Source organism: Homo sapiens, chromosome 5 (assembly GCF_000001405.40).
Source record: "Homo sapiens chromosome 5, GRCh38.p14 Primary Assembly".
Lineage (NCBI taxonomy): Eukaryota > Metazoa > Chordata > Mammalia > Primates > Hominidae > Homo > Homo sapiens.
In genome coordinates this window covers 132,902,668-132,920,553 of record NC_000005.10, presented here as the reverse complement: position 1 = coordinate 132,920,553, position 17,886 = coordinate 132,902,668, and the positions used below count along the sequence as shown (strand labels likewise).

Sequence of the window (17,886 nt, the reverse complement as noted above, 5' to 3'; positions counted from 1 at the left end):
GCAAGACCCCACCTCTACAAAAAATGTAAATATTAGCCAGGCGTGGTGGCATGACCTATAGTCCCAGCTACTTGGGAGGATGAGGTGGGGGATCATTTGAGCTTGGGAGGTTGAGGCTGCAGTGAGTCATGATTATGCCACTGCACTCCAGCCTAGGTGACAGAGTGAGACCTTGTCTCAAAAAAAAAAAAAAAAAATGTTTGCCCGCTGGGCTGGTGGCTCACACCTGTAATCCCAGCACTTTGGGAGGCTGAGGTGGGCAGATCACTTGAGGTCAGGAGTTCGAGACCAGCCTGGCCAACATGGTGAAACTCCGACTCCACTAAAAATATAAAAATTAGCCAGACATGGTGGCGGGCATCTGTAATCCCAGCTACTCGGGAGACTGAGGCAGGGGAATCACATGAACTCAGGAGGCGGAGGTTGCAGTGAGCCAAGATTGCGCCAGTGCACTCCAGCCTGGGCAACAGAGCAAGACTCCATCTGAAAAAAAAGAAAAAAAGAAAAAGAAAAATCTTTGCCTAACCCAAATCCTCCTATGTTGTTTCCTAGACTTTTTTTTTTTCTTTTAAATAAGAGACCAGGTCTCTCTGTGTTGCCCTGGCTAGTCTTGAACTTGTGGGCTCAGGTGACCATCCCACCTCCTCTGCTTCCTGCATAGCTGGGACTCTGCTCTCAGTTATCCTAGGCTTTCTTTTCTGTTTTTGAAAGAGTCTCACTCTGTCACCCAGGCTGGAGTGCAGTGGTGTGATCTTGGCTCACTGCAACATCTGACTCCTGGGCTCAAGCGATTCTCATGCCTTGGTCTCCCGAATAGCTGGAATTACAAGTGCATGCCACCACACCCGGCTAATTTTTGTATTTCTAGTAGAGATGGGGTTTTGCCATGTTGCCCAGCCTGGTCTCGAACTCCTAAGCTTAAATGATCCACCTGCCTTGGCCTCCCAAAGTGCTACAGTTATAAGCATGAGCCACTGTGCCCAGCCTTTCCTAGTTTTTTTATAGTTTTAGGTTTTACATTTAGATCTATGATTTATCTTAAGCTAATTTTTCTATATTGTTACAATATATGGAATGAAGTTTTATCCTCTTGTATGTACATATCCAATTAGCATCTTTATTTAAAAGCCTTCTCTTTCCATTGAATTGCCTTTGCAGTTGTAGTTGACTCTGTATGTGTGATGCATTTCTGACATTTTATGTTTCATTAACCTGTTTGTCTGTCATGGTGCCAATATGAGCCTGTCTTGATGATTTGACTTTGAGACTTACTGTAAAGTCACTACAATGTAAATCCTCAAATTATATTAGTGTTTTTCAAAGTAGATTTGACTTTTCTAGGCTCTTTGCATTTTCATAAGAATTTTAGGCTGGGCACAGTGGCTCACACCTGTAATCCCAGCAATTTGGGAGGCCGAGGTGGGTGGATCACCTAAGGAGGAGTTTGAGTCTAGCCTGGCCAACATGGTGAAACCCCGTCTCTACTAAAAACACAAAAATTAGTTGGGCACGGGGCATGGTGGTGCACACCTGTAATCCCAGCTACTCAGGAGGCTGAGGCAGGAGTCTCTGGGAGGCAGAGGTTGCAGTCAGCTAAGATGATGCCATTGCGTGTGCTCCAGCCTGCGTGACAGAGCAAGACTCTGTCTCAAAAAAAAAAAAAAACAAACAAACAACACCTTGTCAATTTCAACATAAAAGTCTTGTGGGATTTTGACAGGGATTGTGTTGGATCTATAGATCAATTTGGGGAGAATTGACGTCTTAGCAATATTGAATCTTCTGACCCATGAGTCCTTATTTCTCTCTATTTTGGTCTAATTTAATTTCTTTCAGTATTGTTTTGTAGTTTTCAATATGTAGATTTTGGACATCTTTTGTTAGAGTTATCTTTTTGTTTTTTGAAAGAGTGTCACTCTGTCACCCAGGCTGGAGTACAGTGGTGCTCAGTGCAACCTCCGCCTCCTGGGTTCGAGCGATTCTCCTGCCTCAGCCTCCCAGGTAGCTGGGATTACAGGCGCCCACCATGATGCCCAGTTAATTTTTATATTTTTAGTAGAGACGAGGTTTTACCATGTTGACGAGGGTGGTCTCTAACTCCTGACCTCAACTGATCCACCTGCCTCGGCCTCCCAAAGTGCTGGGATTACAGGCATGAGCCACTGTGCCTGGCTGATTTTTTTGTGTGTGTGTGAGACAGAGTCTTGCTCTGTCACCCAGGCTGGAGTGCAGTGGCACGATCTTGGCTCACTGTAGCCTCAGCCTTCTAAGTAGGTGGGATTACAGACCAGTGCCACCACACCCAGCTAATCTTTATACTCTTAGTAAAGATGGCTTTTCACCATGTTGGCCAGGATAGTCTCGAACTCCTGGCCTCAAGTGGTCTGCCCACCTTGGCCTCCCAAAGTGCTGGGATTACAGGCATGAGCCACAGTACCCGGCCCTGTTTGATTTTTTTAGTGCTATTATAAATGGAATTTTATAAAAATTTCAGTATTTGATTTTTCCTTGCTAATTTATAGAAATACATTTCATGGGCTGGATGCGGTGGCTCATGCCTGTAATCCCAGCACTTTGGGAGGCTGAAGGAGGATCACCTGAGGTCGGGAGTTCAAGACCAGCCTGGCCAAGATGGTTTAGTAGAAACCCCATCTCTGCTAAAAAAATACAAAAATTAGCTGTGTGCGGTGGCACACACCTGTAATCCAAGCTACTTGGGAGGCTGAGGCAAGAGGATTCCTTGAACCTGGGAGGTGGAGGTTGCAGTGAGCCGAGATTGCGCCATTGCACTCCAGCCTGGGCGACAAGGTGAGTCTCTGTCTCAAAAAAAAAAAAAAAAAAAAAAAAAGAAAAGAAAAGAAAAAGAAATACCTTTCATGTATAATTTTATGTTTCATCTTGTAATTTTGCTAAATTTACTTAATAGCATTTTTGTAGATACCATATATTTCCTAGACAATCATTTCACCTGTGAATAAAGATTTTATAATGTTTGTTTCAAATGGATGCCTTATTTTATATTCTTGCTTTATTGCACTAGGTAGAATCTCTAGTATGATGTTGAATGCCAGTAGTGAGATTAGACATTCTTGCCTTATTTTTTATCATAGAGGAGAAAGTATCCAGTCTTTCATTATTAAGTGTGATGTTAGCTGCAGGCTTTTTGTGGATGTCATTTATTACATTGAGGAAATTCTTCTATTCCTCTTTGCCTAAGAGTTCTCATTAGGAATGAATTTTGAATTTTGTTGAATATTTTTTAAATCTATTGGAATGATCATAAGATTTTCCTGTTTTGATTTGTATTAATATGGTGAATAACATTGGTTAAATTTGGCTGGGCGTGGTGGCTCACACCTGTAATCCCAGCACTTTGGGAGGCTGAGGCAGGCGGATCACCTGAGGTCAGGAGTTCGAGATCAGCCTGACCAACATGGAGAAACCCTGTCTCTACTAAAAATACAAAATTAGCTGGGCGCGTGGCACATGGCTGTAATCCCAGCTACTCGGGAGGCTGAGGCAGGAGAATCGCTTGAACCCAGGAGGTGGAGGTTGCGGTGAGCCAAGATCACCCCATTGCACTCCAGCCTGGGCAACAAGAGCGAAACTCTATCTCAAAAAAACAAAAAAAAACAAAAAACGTTGGTTAAATTTTAAATGTTAAATCAATATTACATTCCTGATGTAAACTCTACTTGGTCATGATGTATTTTTTTATAGTGCTGAATTTGATTTTAAAAGTTTTTTCTAATTTTTGCGTCTGTATTCCTGGGCTATCTTGGTCTGTATTGTTCCCTTCTTAAATCTGTAACCATAACAGGTCTGTTGTCTGATGCACACAGCAAGTCAATAACAGAGACACTGGGTTGCTGCAGAGAAGGAGTTTAATTATAGGGCCTCCAAACGAAGAGATGAGAGGAAACCTCAAATCTGTCTTCCCAAGGAGTTGAGACCATGGCTTTTAAGGATTTTGGAGTGGGCTGAAGTATTAAGATCATTGATTTGTCAAAGAATGCTAGGTGAAATTATGGGATAGGAAGATGTACAAGCAGTATTCTCATGCTGATTCTGTTCCCCTGTGGAGATCTTTAAACTGGTTGGCTTCAGCTGTTCCACTGTGCTTAAGCAACTCTTGATTTTAAAAAAAAAAATTTATGGAAACAGGGTCTCATGATGTTGCCCACGCTGGTCTCAAACTCCTGGGCTAAAGCAATCCTCCTGTCTAAGCCTCTCAAAGCACTGGGTTGATAAGCATGAGCTATTGAGACTGTCCTGCTTAAGTGATTCTTTTTTTTTTTTTTTTTTTTTTTTTTTTGAGACAGCATCTTACTCTGTCACCCAGGCTAGAGTGCAGTGGCATGATATCAGCTCATTGCAACCTCCGCTTCCCAAGCTCAAGTGATTCTCCCTGTTTCAGCCTCCTGAGTAGCTGGGATTACAGGTGCCCGCCACCACACCCAGATAATTTTTTAGTAGAGACAGGGTTTCCCAGTGTTGCCCAGGCTGGTCCTGAACTCGTGATCCACCTGCCTCACCCTCCCAAAGTACTGGGGTTACAGATGTGAGCCACCACACCTGGCCTTAAGCAATTCTTAAACAAAAGCCTTAAGTTTCTAATGTCAGAAATTCTATCTATAGGAACAATGGGGATGCTGATGGTCAGTATCTAGTGTTAGTGACTTCCTGTTACAAAGAAGTGAGTCAGCCGGGCGTAGTGGCTCACTTCTGTAATCCCAGCACTCTGGGATTACAGGGTCAGGAGTTCAAGACCAGCCTGGCCAATATGGTGAAACCCCCATCTCTACTAAAAATACAAAAATTAGCCGAGCGTGGTGGTGGGTGCTTGTAGTCCCAGCTACCCAGGAGGCTGAGGCAGGAGAATCGCTTGAACCTGGGAGGTGGAGGTTGCAGTGATCCGAGATCGTACCACTGCACTCCAGCCTGAGTGACAGAACGAGACTCCATCTCAAAAAAAAAAAAAAAAACCCAAAAAAAAGAAGTGGGTCAAAGTGCAGTATAATTAATGCTTAATTATAATTATATTTCTGTCCAGAATTCTGTTTAACCCTGTGAGGGTGGTTTCATATCCTTGCCTTGTTTTGGTATCTGAGTAATGATGGCCTTATAGAATGGATTGGGAAATAATTGCTTCCCCTTCCATTTTCTGGAATAGTGTGTATAGAAATGGTATTTTTTCTTTTTTCTTTTTTCTTTTGAGACAGTCTTGCTCTGTCACCCAGGCTGGAGTGCAGTGGTGTGATCTCGGCTCACTGCAAGCTCCGCCTCCCGGGTTCATGCCATTCTCCTGCCTCAGCCTCCTGAGTAGCTGGGACTACAGGCATGCGCCACCACGCCCAGCTAATTTTTTGTATTTTTAGTAGAGACAGGGTTTCACTGTGTTAGCCAGGATGGTCTAGACCATCTCCTGACCTCGTGATCCGCCTGCCTCGGCCTCCCAAAGTGCTGGGATTACAGGCATGAGCCACCGTGCCTGGCCAGAAATGGTATTTTTTTTTAAGTGTTTGTTAGAATTTATCTCTGGTTATGAGCTTTCTTTGTAAGATGGTTTTTAAGCAAAAATTAGACTTCTTTAGTAGCTATAGGGCTACTCATGTTATCTATTTCTCCTTGAATGATCTTTCGTTGTTTATATCTTTCAAGGAATTTGTCCATTTTATCTATGAATTACCAAAGTTAACAAATTGCTGTAAGTTTTTTATAATATTCTCTTATACATATAACATATTCTATTATGATAGCACTTCTCTTATTCCCTATTCCGGTAATTTGTTTTCTTGTCTTTTTCTTGAGTGTCCTGGCTAGAGATTGTCAGTTTTCTTGATAGCTGTTTTTTCTTTCTCTGTTGTTTTTGTTTTTTATTGCACTGATTTCCACCCTGATCTTTCACTTTTCTGCTTTCTTATGGTTTAATTTGTTCTTCTTTTTTTTTTTTGAAATGGAGTCTTGCTCTGTCTCCCAGGCTGGAGTGCAGTGGCGTGATCTCGGCTCACTGCAACCTCCACCTTCCGGGTTCAAGCGATTCTCCTGCCTCAGCCTCCTGAGTAGCTGGGATTACAGGCACATGCCACCATGCCTGGCTAATTTTTGTATTTTTATTAGAGACGGGGTTTCACCATGTTGGTCAGGCTGGTCTCGAACTCCTGACCTCATGATCTGCCCGCCTCAGCCTCCCAAAATGCTGGGATTACAGGCGTGAGCCGCTGCGCCCGGCTTGCTCATCTTTTTAACAGATTTCTTGAGGTGGAAGCTAAGGTCATTTAATTGAGATTTTTCTTATTTTCTTATTTTATTTATTTATTTATTTTTAGATGGAGTCTTGCTCCGTTGCCCAGGCTGGAGTGCAGTGGTGAGATCTCGAATCATTGTAACCTCCACCTCACCGGTTCAAAGGATTCTCCTGCCTCAGGCTCCCAAGTAGCTGGGATTACAAGCATACACTACCATGCCTGACTAATTTTTGTATTTTTAGTAGAGACTGGGTTTCACCATGTTGGTCAGGCTGGTCTCAAACTCCTGGACTCAAGCGATCCACCCACCTCGGTGTCCCAAAGTGCTGGGATTACAGGGGTGAGCCTCCGTGTCTGGCCTAATTTCTTGTTTTTTGGATTATATCTAACTGTGTTGGTTCCCAAATATTTGGAGATTTTCTGCATATTTTCTGTTTTGATTTGTGATTTAATTCCATTGTGGTCATGAAGCATACATTGTATGAGATTGAGACTTATTTCATGTTCCAGATTATTGTCTTTTTTTGCTAATGTTTTGTGTACACTTGAAAAGAATGTGTATTCCAGCCAGTGTGGTGGCACACGCTTGTAATCCCAACACTTTAGAAGGCTGAGGTGGGAGGATCCCTGGAGGCCAGAAGTTTGAGACCAGCCTGAGCAACAGCCAGACCTCATGTCTGCCAAAAATTTAAAAATCAGCCGGGCACGGTGGTGGGCACCTGCAGTTGCAACTACTCAGGAGGCTGAAACAAGAGGATTGCCTGAGCACAAGAGGTCAAGGCTACAGTGAGCCATGATCATGCCACTGTACTCCAGCCTGGGTGACAGAGAAAGACCCTTTCTCAAAAAGAAGCGTATTCTGCTGTTGTTGAGTGGAGTGTCCTGTTAGGTCAAGTTGGCTTATAGTGTTATACTAATCTTCTATATCCTTACTCATTTTAATTCTATCAATTATCTATTATTGAGAGTTAACTCCAACTATAATTTTGGATTTGTATATATGTTCTTGCTTTGTTTCTTCATGCTTTCTCAAACTCTGTTTTTAGGTGCATAAACATTTAGGATTGTTACCTCTTAATGAGTTGAGTCTTTATTACTATGAAACAACCCCTTTTAAATCTTATAATATTCTTTGCTGTAAAATTTACTTTTATATTAATATGATCAGCTCCAGCTTTCTTTTATTTAATGTTAGCATGGTATAGTTTTTTCCAACCTTTTGCTTTTAACCTGTTTATGTTCTTATACTTAAAATGCATTTCTTGTAGGTAGTATATGATTTTGTTGTGCTTTTTAAATATAATCTGACACTCTGCTCTTTAATTAGGGTGTTCAGACCACTTACATTTAATGTGATTATTTATACAGTTGGGCTTAAATCTACTATCTTGCTTTTTGATTTCTCTGTCTCATCAGCCCTTTTGTGTGTGTGTGTGTGTGTGTGTGTGTGTTGTGTGTGTGTCAGCCTCTATCTTCAAGTGATTTTATACCATCCTTTTCTGCTGTATAAGACCCTATTGTCATTATACTTGCATTTCTCCCGTCGTAGAATCTGTATGATTGTTGTTTATGTTTTACTTCCACATAAAGTATAAATGGCACAATATTGTTACTATTTTTTATTTAAACAATATATTATCTTTTAGGCTGGGCGCAATGGCTCACACCTATAATCCTAGCACTTTGGGAGTCCGAGGAAGGAGGATCACTTGAGTCCAGGAGTTTGAGACCAGCCTTGGCAACATAGTGAGACCCTGTCTCTACAAAAAATAAAAAAATTACCTGAGTGTGGTGATACGTACCTGTGGTCCCAGCTGCTCAGGAGGCCGAGGTGGGAAAATAGCTTGAGCCCCGGAGGTCTTGGCTGCAGTGAGCCATCATCACTCCACTGCACTCCAGTCTGGGTGGTAGTGAGACCCTGTCTCAAAATAAGTAAACACAGTTTGTTATCTTTACTTTTTTTTGAGACAGAGTATTGCTCTGTCACCCAGGCTGGAGTGCAGTGGTGCAATCTTGGCTCACTGCAACCTCCACCTCCCTGGTTCAAGCAATTCTGCCTCAGTCTCTGGAGTAGCTGGGATTACAAGTGCCTGCCACCACGCCCTGCTAAATGTTTTTTTTTTTTTTTTTTTGTATTTTTAGTAGAGACAATCTCGAACTCCTGACGTCAGGTGATCCGCCAACCTCCACCTCCCAAAGTGCTGGGATTACAGGTGTGAGCCACCGCACCTGGCCCATTTTACTATTATCTGGAGGACTTTCTTTAATATTTCTTTTAGTACTTTGAAAAAATCTTTATTTTGCCTTTCCATTTTTATTTTTAAAGTGTTTTTGCCAGCTATAGAATTCTAGATTGAGGACCTTGCCCCCTTGCAACTATCTGCCAGCTTGCATTGTTTTTGATATGTACATTGTTGTCATTCTTTTTTTTGTATGTAAAATGTCCTTTTTTTTTTTTGGCGGTCTTTAAGTTTTTTTTTAATCATTGCTTTTAATCTGTTCAGTTATGATACGTTCTCCTGTAGTTCTCTTTATCTTTCTCGTGCTTGAGGTTTGTTCAGCTTCTTGAAATTTTGGTCTTATAGTTTCCATCAAATTTGGGAAACTTGCTATTACTCAATTTTTTTTTTTACCCTCTTCTCCCCTTTTGTCGTCGTCTTCAAGGACTCCAATTACATGTATATTAGGCCCCTTAAAGTTGTCCCAGAGTTCACTGATGTTCTGTTCTTTCTTTTTTTTTCTTTTTTTTTGTGGGAGGTCTTATACTGTATTGCTCCATTTTGCATGGTTTGTATTGCTGTGTCTTTAGGTTCACTAATCTGTTGTTCTGCGATGTCTAATCTGCTGTTAGACATTTAATACATATTTTTATGTTAGACATGTTATCAATAAAAATTTGATAGTGCTTATATATTTATTAATTAAACAGATATTTATTAACTTCTTACTATGTTCCTGGCATGAGATTTGACAACTTGTTCTTTATTAATGACAAAGATTTTTAGTAGAAAGATGAGGGTAAAAGACTAGTTGTACTAGTCTCAAAAGATATCAGAGTGTCTTTTGAAGCAAACAGAGAATGTGATACCAAGAACTGTATGGTGATGTCGGGGAGTGTTTTTATAAGATGAAGATATTTTGTTATTTTTATAATGCTGATGGCTTAGTAGAAAGGGAAAAACAAATGATCCATGGGAAAGAGAAGAGGTAACCTTAGGAAATCTTCACAAGAGTGATTGAGATTCAGTGCCCAAGTAGAGGACAGTAGCTTTAGAATAGAACACCACTACTTCATTGGCACCAGAGGGAAGCAGAGAATATGGGTATAGTTGGGGATAGCTTGGGAGATTTTCCAGTGATAGTTTGGAGAATATTAAAGATTTTGATTGCCTTTGCACTTACTCACCATGTTTGGAACAACCTCCAGCAGTGTTCTTGACACTGGAGATAGAACGCTGTACAATTTAAATGTTCTTGCTCTAAGATGGGTATTTAAAGAACATAGGAAAACGCTGTGCCAATGCTTAGAATAGTTCTGGCACAAAGTAGCTGTTCAATGAATGTTTGTTAACTGAATTTGGATGTATATACTCAAGTAACAGTGTTTAGATTTTGGTGTTTGTGAGACACCTCAGCTACTGACTGACTGTTGCTAAGGTGGGTTGCTTCTTACCGATAGCTTATCTCATTCTCCAAATTTAAGTGGGTACAACTTCATGTGTAATATACCTAAAAGCTCTGTGTGATACTTTAATAGGTACTTACTCTCCATGTGCACTAACTATATGTACCAAGTCCAATGAGAGGACAGAGAAGGGAGAAAGTTGTTATACCTAGGGAATTTGGGGTTAGCATCCTACAGGAGGTGACACCAATTAGAGTTTGAAGGAGAAGTATAGGAGTGCTAGCAAGATGTGGGTTGATAAGGAACACATCAGAAAGCACTTCACACCATTGACGAGTCTGAAAGAGCAGTTCACAGGCGGCAAATGGTGCTAAGTTTAGGATCATATTGGGGAGCTGGTTTAGTATATTCATCTCTCTCCTTGAATTGGTCCCATTTAAAAACAAAAACAATTCAATCCCTCTGTTCCATGTGATTCATCAGTCACTCCTTTTGTTTAGAATAAAACTTACTAAAGATTGATTCATATTTGCTATTTTTCCCTGGTATTTTGCTGGGTGTTATAAGGAAGTGTGAAACAAGAAATGTGTTTTGCCTGTACCAAACATTTGGTTGTAGAAATCAATAATACAAAAGAAAGCAATAGGAATTATTTATTAGTGTTTAATTGGATGTGTAGTTGTGTGCATCACACTTAGACGTAAGTTGTCTTCTCTTTGTATTCTGTTCTTTACCTAGAACCTCTTTACCTAGGTGCTTCACAAATCTTATCTTCTCCTCCCCATCTCCTTCCCTCTTTACCTTCCCCTTCCACCTGTTGATACAGTAGCTGCTTTAACAGGAATTACAAAAAGGAACCCAGGACAAGGCAAGAGTAATGGCAAAAGTGCAGTTTATGCACAGTTGCAGTGTTGGAACAATGATGTTGAAGCCAGAAATGTCTGGAACTGTGAATATCTTCAACTCAGTTATAGAATCATGCTCTGTACAATATATTCTGTAATGAAATGAGGAGTGAATCTGAATATTTTTTACACTAACATAGAAATTGTTTCATGATATCAGTTATCCCACTTAAAAATGAGTTAGACACCTCTCTCTTTTTAATCTCTCTATCTCACACACAGATACACACACACACACGCACACCACCACGAAATATGCTATATGTATCTTTTCATAATGTATTTTTAAAAAATAATTAAACCCCCTTCTCTCTTCAGAGTAAAGATGATGTTGGCCTATTGTGGTGGCTCATGCCTGTAATCCCAGCACCTGGGGAGGCTGAGGCGGGTGGATCACCTGAGATCAGGAGTTCAAGACCAGCCTGGCCACCATGGCGGCCCCATCTCTACTAAAAATACAGAAATTAGCTGGGCGTGGTGGCATGCGCCTATAATCCCAGCTACTTGGGAGGCTGAGCTGGAGAGTCATTTGAGCCCAAGAGATGGAGGTTGCAGTGAGCAGAGATCATGCCATTGCACTCCAGCCTGAGCAACAAGTATGAAACATCCTACAGGAGTGTGAAACTCCATCTCAAAAAAAAAAAAAAAAAAAGATGATGTTTTAACAATGAATGAAGTAACCGCTTCCCTAAAAGATATGCTTGAGCGGCTGGGTGCGGTGCCTCATGCTTATAATCCCAGCACTTTGAGAGGCCAAGGTGGGTGGATCACGAGGTCAGGAGTTCGAGACCAGCGTGGCCAACACAGTGAAACCCTGTCTCTACTAAAAATATAAAAATTAACTGGGCGTGGTGGCAGGTGCCTGTAATCCCAGCTACTTGGAAGGCTGAGGCAGGAGAATCGCTTGAACCTGGGAGCTGGAGGTGGCAGAGAGCCGAAATCACACCACTGCACTCCAGTCTGGGTGACAGAGCTAGATTCCGTCTCAAAAAAAAAAAATATATATATATATATATATGTATATATATAGTGTATAGATTATATATGAGTGTGTGTGTATATACATATACATACATTCAAGCTAGGAAAATAACAATAATATTGTCATTGTTTATGTATTTTTAGTTTTTTGTTACCAAAAAACCACAGTTCTAATATGAATACTGTAAAGAGCTGAAAAAAAATTTCTAATCAGTGGTTTGAACCTATTTGCTAAAAATAATAAAATGCATCCTTCTAATTTATTTTTCTAAATGATTTACAACAAGGAACATGGAAATCTAATTCAACTTCAATAGAATTCTTTACATAATTAATGTATAGGACTGAAATTTTGTTACTGTGATTTAATAAGCATGGTATTTCTTCCATGAGTATAACTATATCTTTGTGGCATCCAGTGAAACCAGATATCAAAAATAAGTCCATCTTAGCGTCATACCTTTGAAGCATTATATTTTTGTGTGTAAGAAAGGTTTTGTTGTCATTCATAAATATATTTAAAAATTACTCTAAAAATGGTATTTAATTTTTGTTATGCTTTTGAAATTGCAGTATTTTAATCTTATACATAAGTAGTAATGCATATTCTATACATATTTTGGAGATACAAATGGAAAAATTTCTTAGTAATGGAGTATATGATTAAAAAAAAAAAAGCTGGAAGACAAACTTGTTTAAGCTGTAGTTATCTCCTACTGGTACTACTCCAGTAACCTCATTTTGTATCCTTAACTCCATTCTAGCTTTCTTAAAACTGTTCTCCACTTAGTAGGCGAGATGATCCTCACAATGTGCAGATGTAGTTGTGTAACTCTCCTACTTAATAAGCTGCACACACACAGGTCTTTAATATGGTCTATAAGTCTGTAAACTGTGTGATCTAGCATTTTAGGTCTTCAGTCTCATATCTCACCACTCTTCCACCTTTACTTTTTCCTCTCTGTGGGCTGCCTTTAAGTTCCTTGTACAAGCCATGCTCTTCCCTTTAAGCTGGACTTTACACATGTTTTCTCTCTCCCTATGGCACTTAGCCTATCTCTTCCTTTCCCAGTTTATTTCCTATATATCCTTCAAATTTCAATCTGAATGGCAGTTCCTCAGGGAAGCCTTTGCTCATCTTCCTGGCTAGATCATACACACACACACACATATGCACACATGCATACAAGCACACAGGTACACATGCATGCACAATTACAAACTCAATATAATTATGTGTATTTGCCCTTCATTGTGTTTATTACAGTTGCCATTTTACTTTGATTTGCGTGAGTACTTGCAAAGGTAGTAATTATTGACATTCAAATAGGTGTTAAGCTCCATGGGGGCAGGGCCCTTGTCAGTTTTTGCTTATCATTGTTTTCTCAGTACTTTGATACATGAGTAAGTGTGTTGCCAGAGAGTTTGGGTTTCATCCTTAGGAAAAAACAAAGAGTCATTGGGAAGTTCTATGAAAAATAGGAGAGCAGTGATGACGCATACTAAGACTTGGGCTGTAGAAGGGTAAACTTCTACAGGCTGTAGAAGGGAGGCTATAGCTGAGTAAAGGAGATAAACTAGAGCTAGGAAGATCCATTAGAAGGCCATTGTAGGTAAACAAGATGAAGACCTGAAGTCTTTCCGGTTCAGATGGTCTCGCCTTTGGTGGATGTTTAAGAGACAGAATCCAGTAGTATTTGTGGACCTGCTGACTATTGTCAGATATAAGACAAATAAATCAGATTATTTGGAATATGGGGCTATTAACTTTTAGGCCATTTACCAAGTAAATGAATATAAGACAATAAACAATTTGAGGGGGTAAAGGAATCTTCATTTTATTTTATTTTTATTATTTGTACAGATAGGATCTTGGTATGTTGCCCAGTCTGGTCTTGAACTCCTGGCCTCAAGCTATCCTCATTGCTTAGCCTCCCAAAGTATTGGGATTACCTGCATAAGCCACCACACCCATCCTGGAATCTTCATTTTAAACAAAAGTCACAAAAGTGACCTCTTGCCCACTGCTCTATATACAGTTTTTTAACAGCAGTACTGAGATGTGATTCACTTACCATGTAATTCACCTACTTCAAGTGTAGAGTTCAGTAGTTTTGAGTTTATTTATAAATCATCAACTCAAAAAGAAACTGTACCCTTTAGCTGTTATCCCTCTTTCCCTCTACCTTCCTAGCCTTAAGCAACCACTAATCTACTCTATCTCTATAGATCTCTCTGTTCTAAACATTTTATATAAATAGTATAATGTAGTATGTGGTCTTTTGTGACTATATTCTTTCACTTAACATTATGTTTTTAAGATTCATCTAAGTTGTAGCATGTAACAGTACTTCATTCCTTTTTATGGCCAAATAATATTCCAGTGTATAAGTATATATCACATTTTGTTTATACATTCATCAGCTGATGGACATTTGAGTTGTTTCCACTTTTTGGCTGTTATGAATAATATTGCTATAAACACTTATGTAGAAGTGTTTGTGTGGACATATGTTTACATTTTGTTTGGTTGTGTACCTAAGAGTGGAATGGCTGGGTCATGTGGTAACTCTGTGTTTACTTATTTGAGGAACTGCCAGAATGTTTCCAAAGCAGCTGTACCATTTCGCATTCTTACCAGGGTTCTGATTTCTTCACATACTTGTCAACACTTGTTACATCTGTCTTTTTGATTCTAGTCATCCTAGTGGTTGAGAAGTGGTATCTCATTGTAGATTTGTATTTCCGTGATGACAGGTGTGAGAAATCTTTTCATCTGCTTATTGGCCATTTATATGTCTTCCTTGGGTAAATGTTTATTCAGGCCCTTTTCCTGTTTTTTAATTGGCTTGTCTTGTTATTGAATTGTAAGAGCTCTTTGTAGTATATTGTGGATACCAGCCCCTTATCAGATACATCATTTGCAAATATTTTCTCCTATTCTGTGAGTTGTCTTTTCACTTTTTTGATAACAATCTTTGAAGCACAGAAGTTCTTAATTTTGATTAAGTCAAGTTTATCTTGCCAAATCCCAGGTCATTTAGATTTGGCATTGTGTTTTTTTCTAAAGATTTTATAGCTCTAGCTTTTACATTTATAGGTCTTTGATCCTTCTTGAGTTTTTTGTTTTGTTTTGTTTTGTTTTTAATATGATGTGATATAAAGGCCCAGCTTTATTTTGCCCATGGATATTCAGTTTGTCCAGCACCGTTGTTAAAAAGACTATTCTTTCCCATATAATGGTCTTGGCATCCTCTTGGAAAATCAGTTGAGTGTAGAAATAGGTTTTTAATGTTTTTTAACCGCAAAACTATATTTTAGCTTTCTAACTATTTGGATTGTTCTTTCACAGACAATTCTGTAACTAAAGGAAGATTATGCTTATTTTTAAGTAAGCTTTTAGGAATATTTGTATAATTTTAGTGCTACATCTTGTATCCAGATTTAATTTTGAGAAATGCATAGTTTGCACATATGGAACAGCTGTTCTGGTCATGAAAATTGAGTTTGGAAAGCCATGTTTCACTAAGGGTGACATTCTGGCTTCTTTCTATTGGTGCTTCCTGAGTGCTGGACACTATGCTGTTATAGGGCTTACATGGAAGTAAATGACCATCTCTTCCTCACGTTGCTAATGTATATAAAATATTGGGAGCAGGGAGAAGGAGGGAGTAAAATGACATGGAAATATCCATATGGGATTTTTTTAGTCCATAAAAGTGGTATACTTTTTTTTTTTTTTTTTTGAGATGGAGTCTCGCCCTGTTGCCAGGCTGGAGTGCAGTGGCGCGATCTCGGCTCACTGCAACCTCCGCCTCCCAGGGTTCAAGTGATTCTCCTGCCTCAGCCTCCCGAGTAGCTGGGACTACAGGTGCACGCCACCACGCCCAACTAATTTTTGTATTTTTCGTAGAGACGGGGTTTCACCATGTTGGCCAGGATGGTCTTGATCTCCTGACCTCATGATCCGCCAGCCTCGGCCTCCCAAAAAAGTGGTATACTTCTAATGGATAAAGGTTATACAGCTATCTTCACCTGGTACACTGTCTTCGGTATTACCTTTAGTTTTAAATGAAGTGTTTTCTTAAGACCAAGAATTTTAAATTGAAATTAGTTATTTTATAAAGGGCTCTAAATAAGGATATGACTACAATGGATGCTGCTGAAAGAATTGAATGATAAAGATTATTAGGTGGCTTAATGCTTTTTGTATTAATCTCTGGGAAAGTCCATTATTGATCCCAAAATTGCCAAGGCTGATCAGACAGGATCATTACATTCTTTCTGTGCTTTTTCAAGTACTTGAAGTGTTTTTATGTAATTTAAGCATTTTTCACTAATCTTTCTTTTTTAGTGTAACTTTGTATAATTTTATGTTCCTTTTTCTTAGGAGTCTCAGCAGTCCAATTTTGGCACTGGAGAACAAAGTGAGTATTTCTTTCCCTCTTTGTTTTCAAATTAAGCTATTTATTGAACATTCAGTTTTCATGGTCACACCATATATAACTTTAGTAATACCTTTACATGTCATATCCTTTTTCATTTTTGTTTTCTTTTTTTTTTTTTCTGGAGTGTAGTGGTGTGGTCGTAGCTCACTGCAGCCTCGATCTCCAGGGCTCAAGTGATCCTCCTGCCTCAGCCTACTGAGTAGCTGGGACTGTGGGCACATGCCACTATGCCTGGCTGATTTTTTAAATTTTTAGTAGAGATAGGGTCTCACTATGTTGCACAGGCTGGTCTCGAACTCCTGAGCTCAAGTGATCCACCTGCCTCGCCTCCCAAAGTGTTGGGATTACTGGTGTGAGCCACCATGCCCTCGTATCCTAATTTTTATGATCTAATGGGTAGTAGTGGGTTGAGCTGAAAAATTGTTATGCTTTAAAAAATTCAAGAACTGTAAGTCATTGGAGATCAAAATACACTACTTTTATTAAGCATTTGAACTAATAGTTCATGAATACAATTTGATGGGCACCTCGTAAACTCAAGAGTTATTCTTCTTTCTTTTAACTTACTTCATGAAGATACTTGGCTCTATGATGATAAAACTCCGCACAAGAAGGGTCATTTTATTTAGCTGACCATGGCCCTTTTCTTCTTATATTTGTACAGTCCCTGTTTTTTCTTCCTTGGTTTTCTGATCTGGGTAGAAAATCTGCTGCCTGCTATACCCTCACCTTTACCCTTACTCTCTTGGCCTGTCAGAAGAATTCTAGGGAAGATAGTCTTATGGTCCCAAGAGATTGTGGTTGTGTAGATTGAGAGTGGTAAGATCAGGAACCAATGCAAATGTCTGGGCTTTACCGTATACCTCTGTAACAAAACAGGTATTCTTTTTGCCAAGAGCAGTAACTTCTTAATTAAGGTAGATTTGTACTAGTCATAAGGTATTTTGGAAATGAAAATGTGGAACTTTTTGATCCTTAGTTTATCTTCAGTGATCTTAATGCAGGGATAAAACTAGAAGAATACCTCTTTTGATGTTATGCTTTCTTTATCTGTCTATCAATTTCTTAGTTCCACCTTAAAGGCCGTAGCTTACAGGAAAAAGGGATTTGACATTGTTAATTATGCAGAAAATGTTAAAATGCAGAAAATAGCTAACTATAGGCCAGAGAATTTACATTTTCTCTCTTCTTTTTGTTTCCTTTTTTTTCTCAGCTTGTTTTCCCTAGTCGTCATCTTTTAAGAATGCTTCATCCTTCTACTCTTCTCTCATTCTCTTTTCTGAAAGCTGTTCACAAATGGGATCATAAGCTGCCTCTACTCATTATTTGTGTTTTTCACTTTGTTTTAGAGCTATTTCTATATCAGCATAAAGCTCTAGCTCATTGTTTAACCTTAAAATTATGTTATAATATGAAAATATCTTAATTTATTTCACTAGTCCCCTATCGATGGACATTTTTTTCCAGTTTTTGCCATTACAAACCAGGCTATAATAAACATTCCCAAGTGTGTGCTTGTGTGTTCGTGTATTCCTCAAGATTATACCTGTAATGTAAATTCCTTTCATTGGAATTATTAAGTCACTTAGCAATATAATTACAGTACTGAGAAGGTATTACCAGATTGCCCTTCAAGAAGATCGTATGAGTTTATAGTCCTACCAGCAACATATGCACAT

General features: G+C 39.3%; 1 protein-coding gene across 4 annotated transcripts in view; it reads left to right on the top strand.

Moving 5' to 3' along the window:
- The window catches only part of AFF4 (ALF transcription elongation factor 4), an 88,240-nt gene that overhangs the window by 43,081 nt on the left and 27,273 nt on the right, over positions 1-17,886 (top strand). For all 4 annotated transcript variants that reach the window (XM_006714587.5, NM_014423.4, XM_047417103.1 and 1 more), the window contains one exon: positions 16,150-16,186. In XM_006714587.5, coding sequence (XP_006714650.1) covers positions 16,150-16,186 — 37 coding nt within the window. The remainder of the gene's footprint in view (positions 1-16,149; positions 16,187-17,886) is intronic.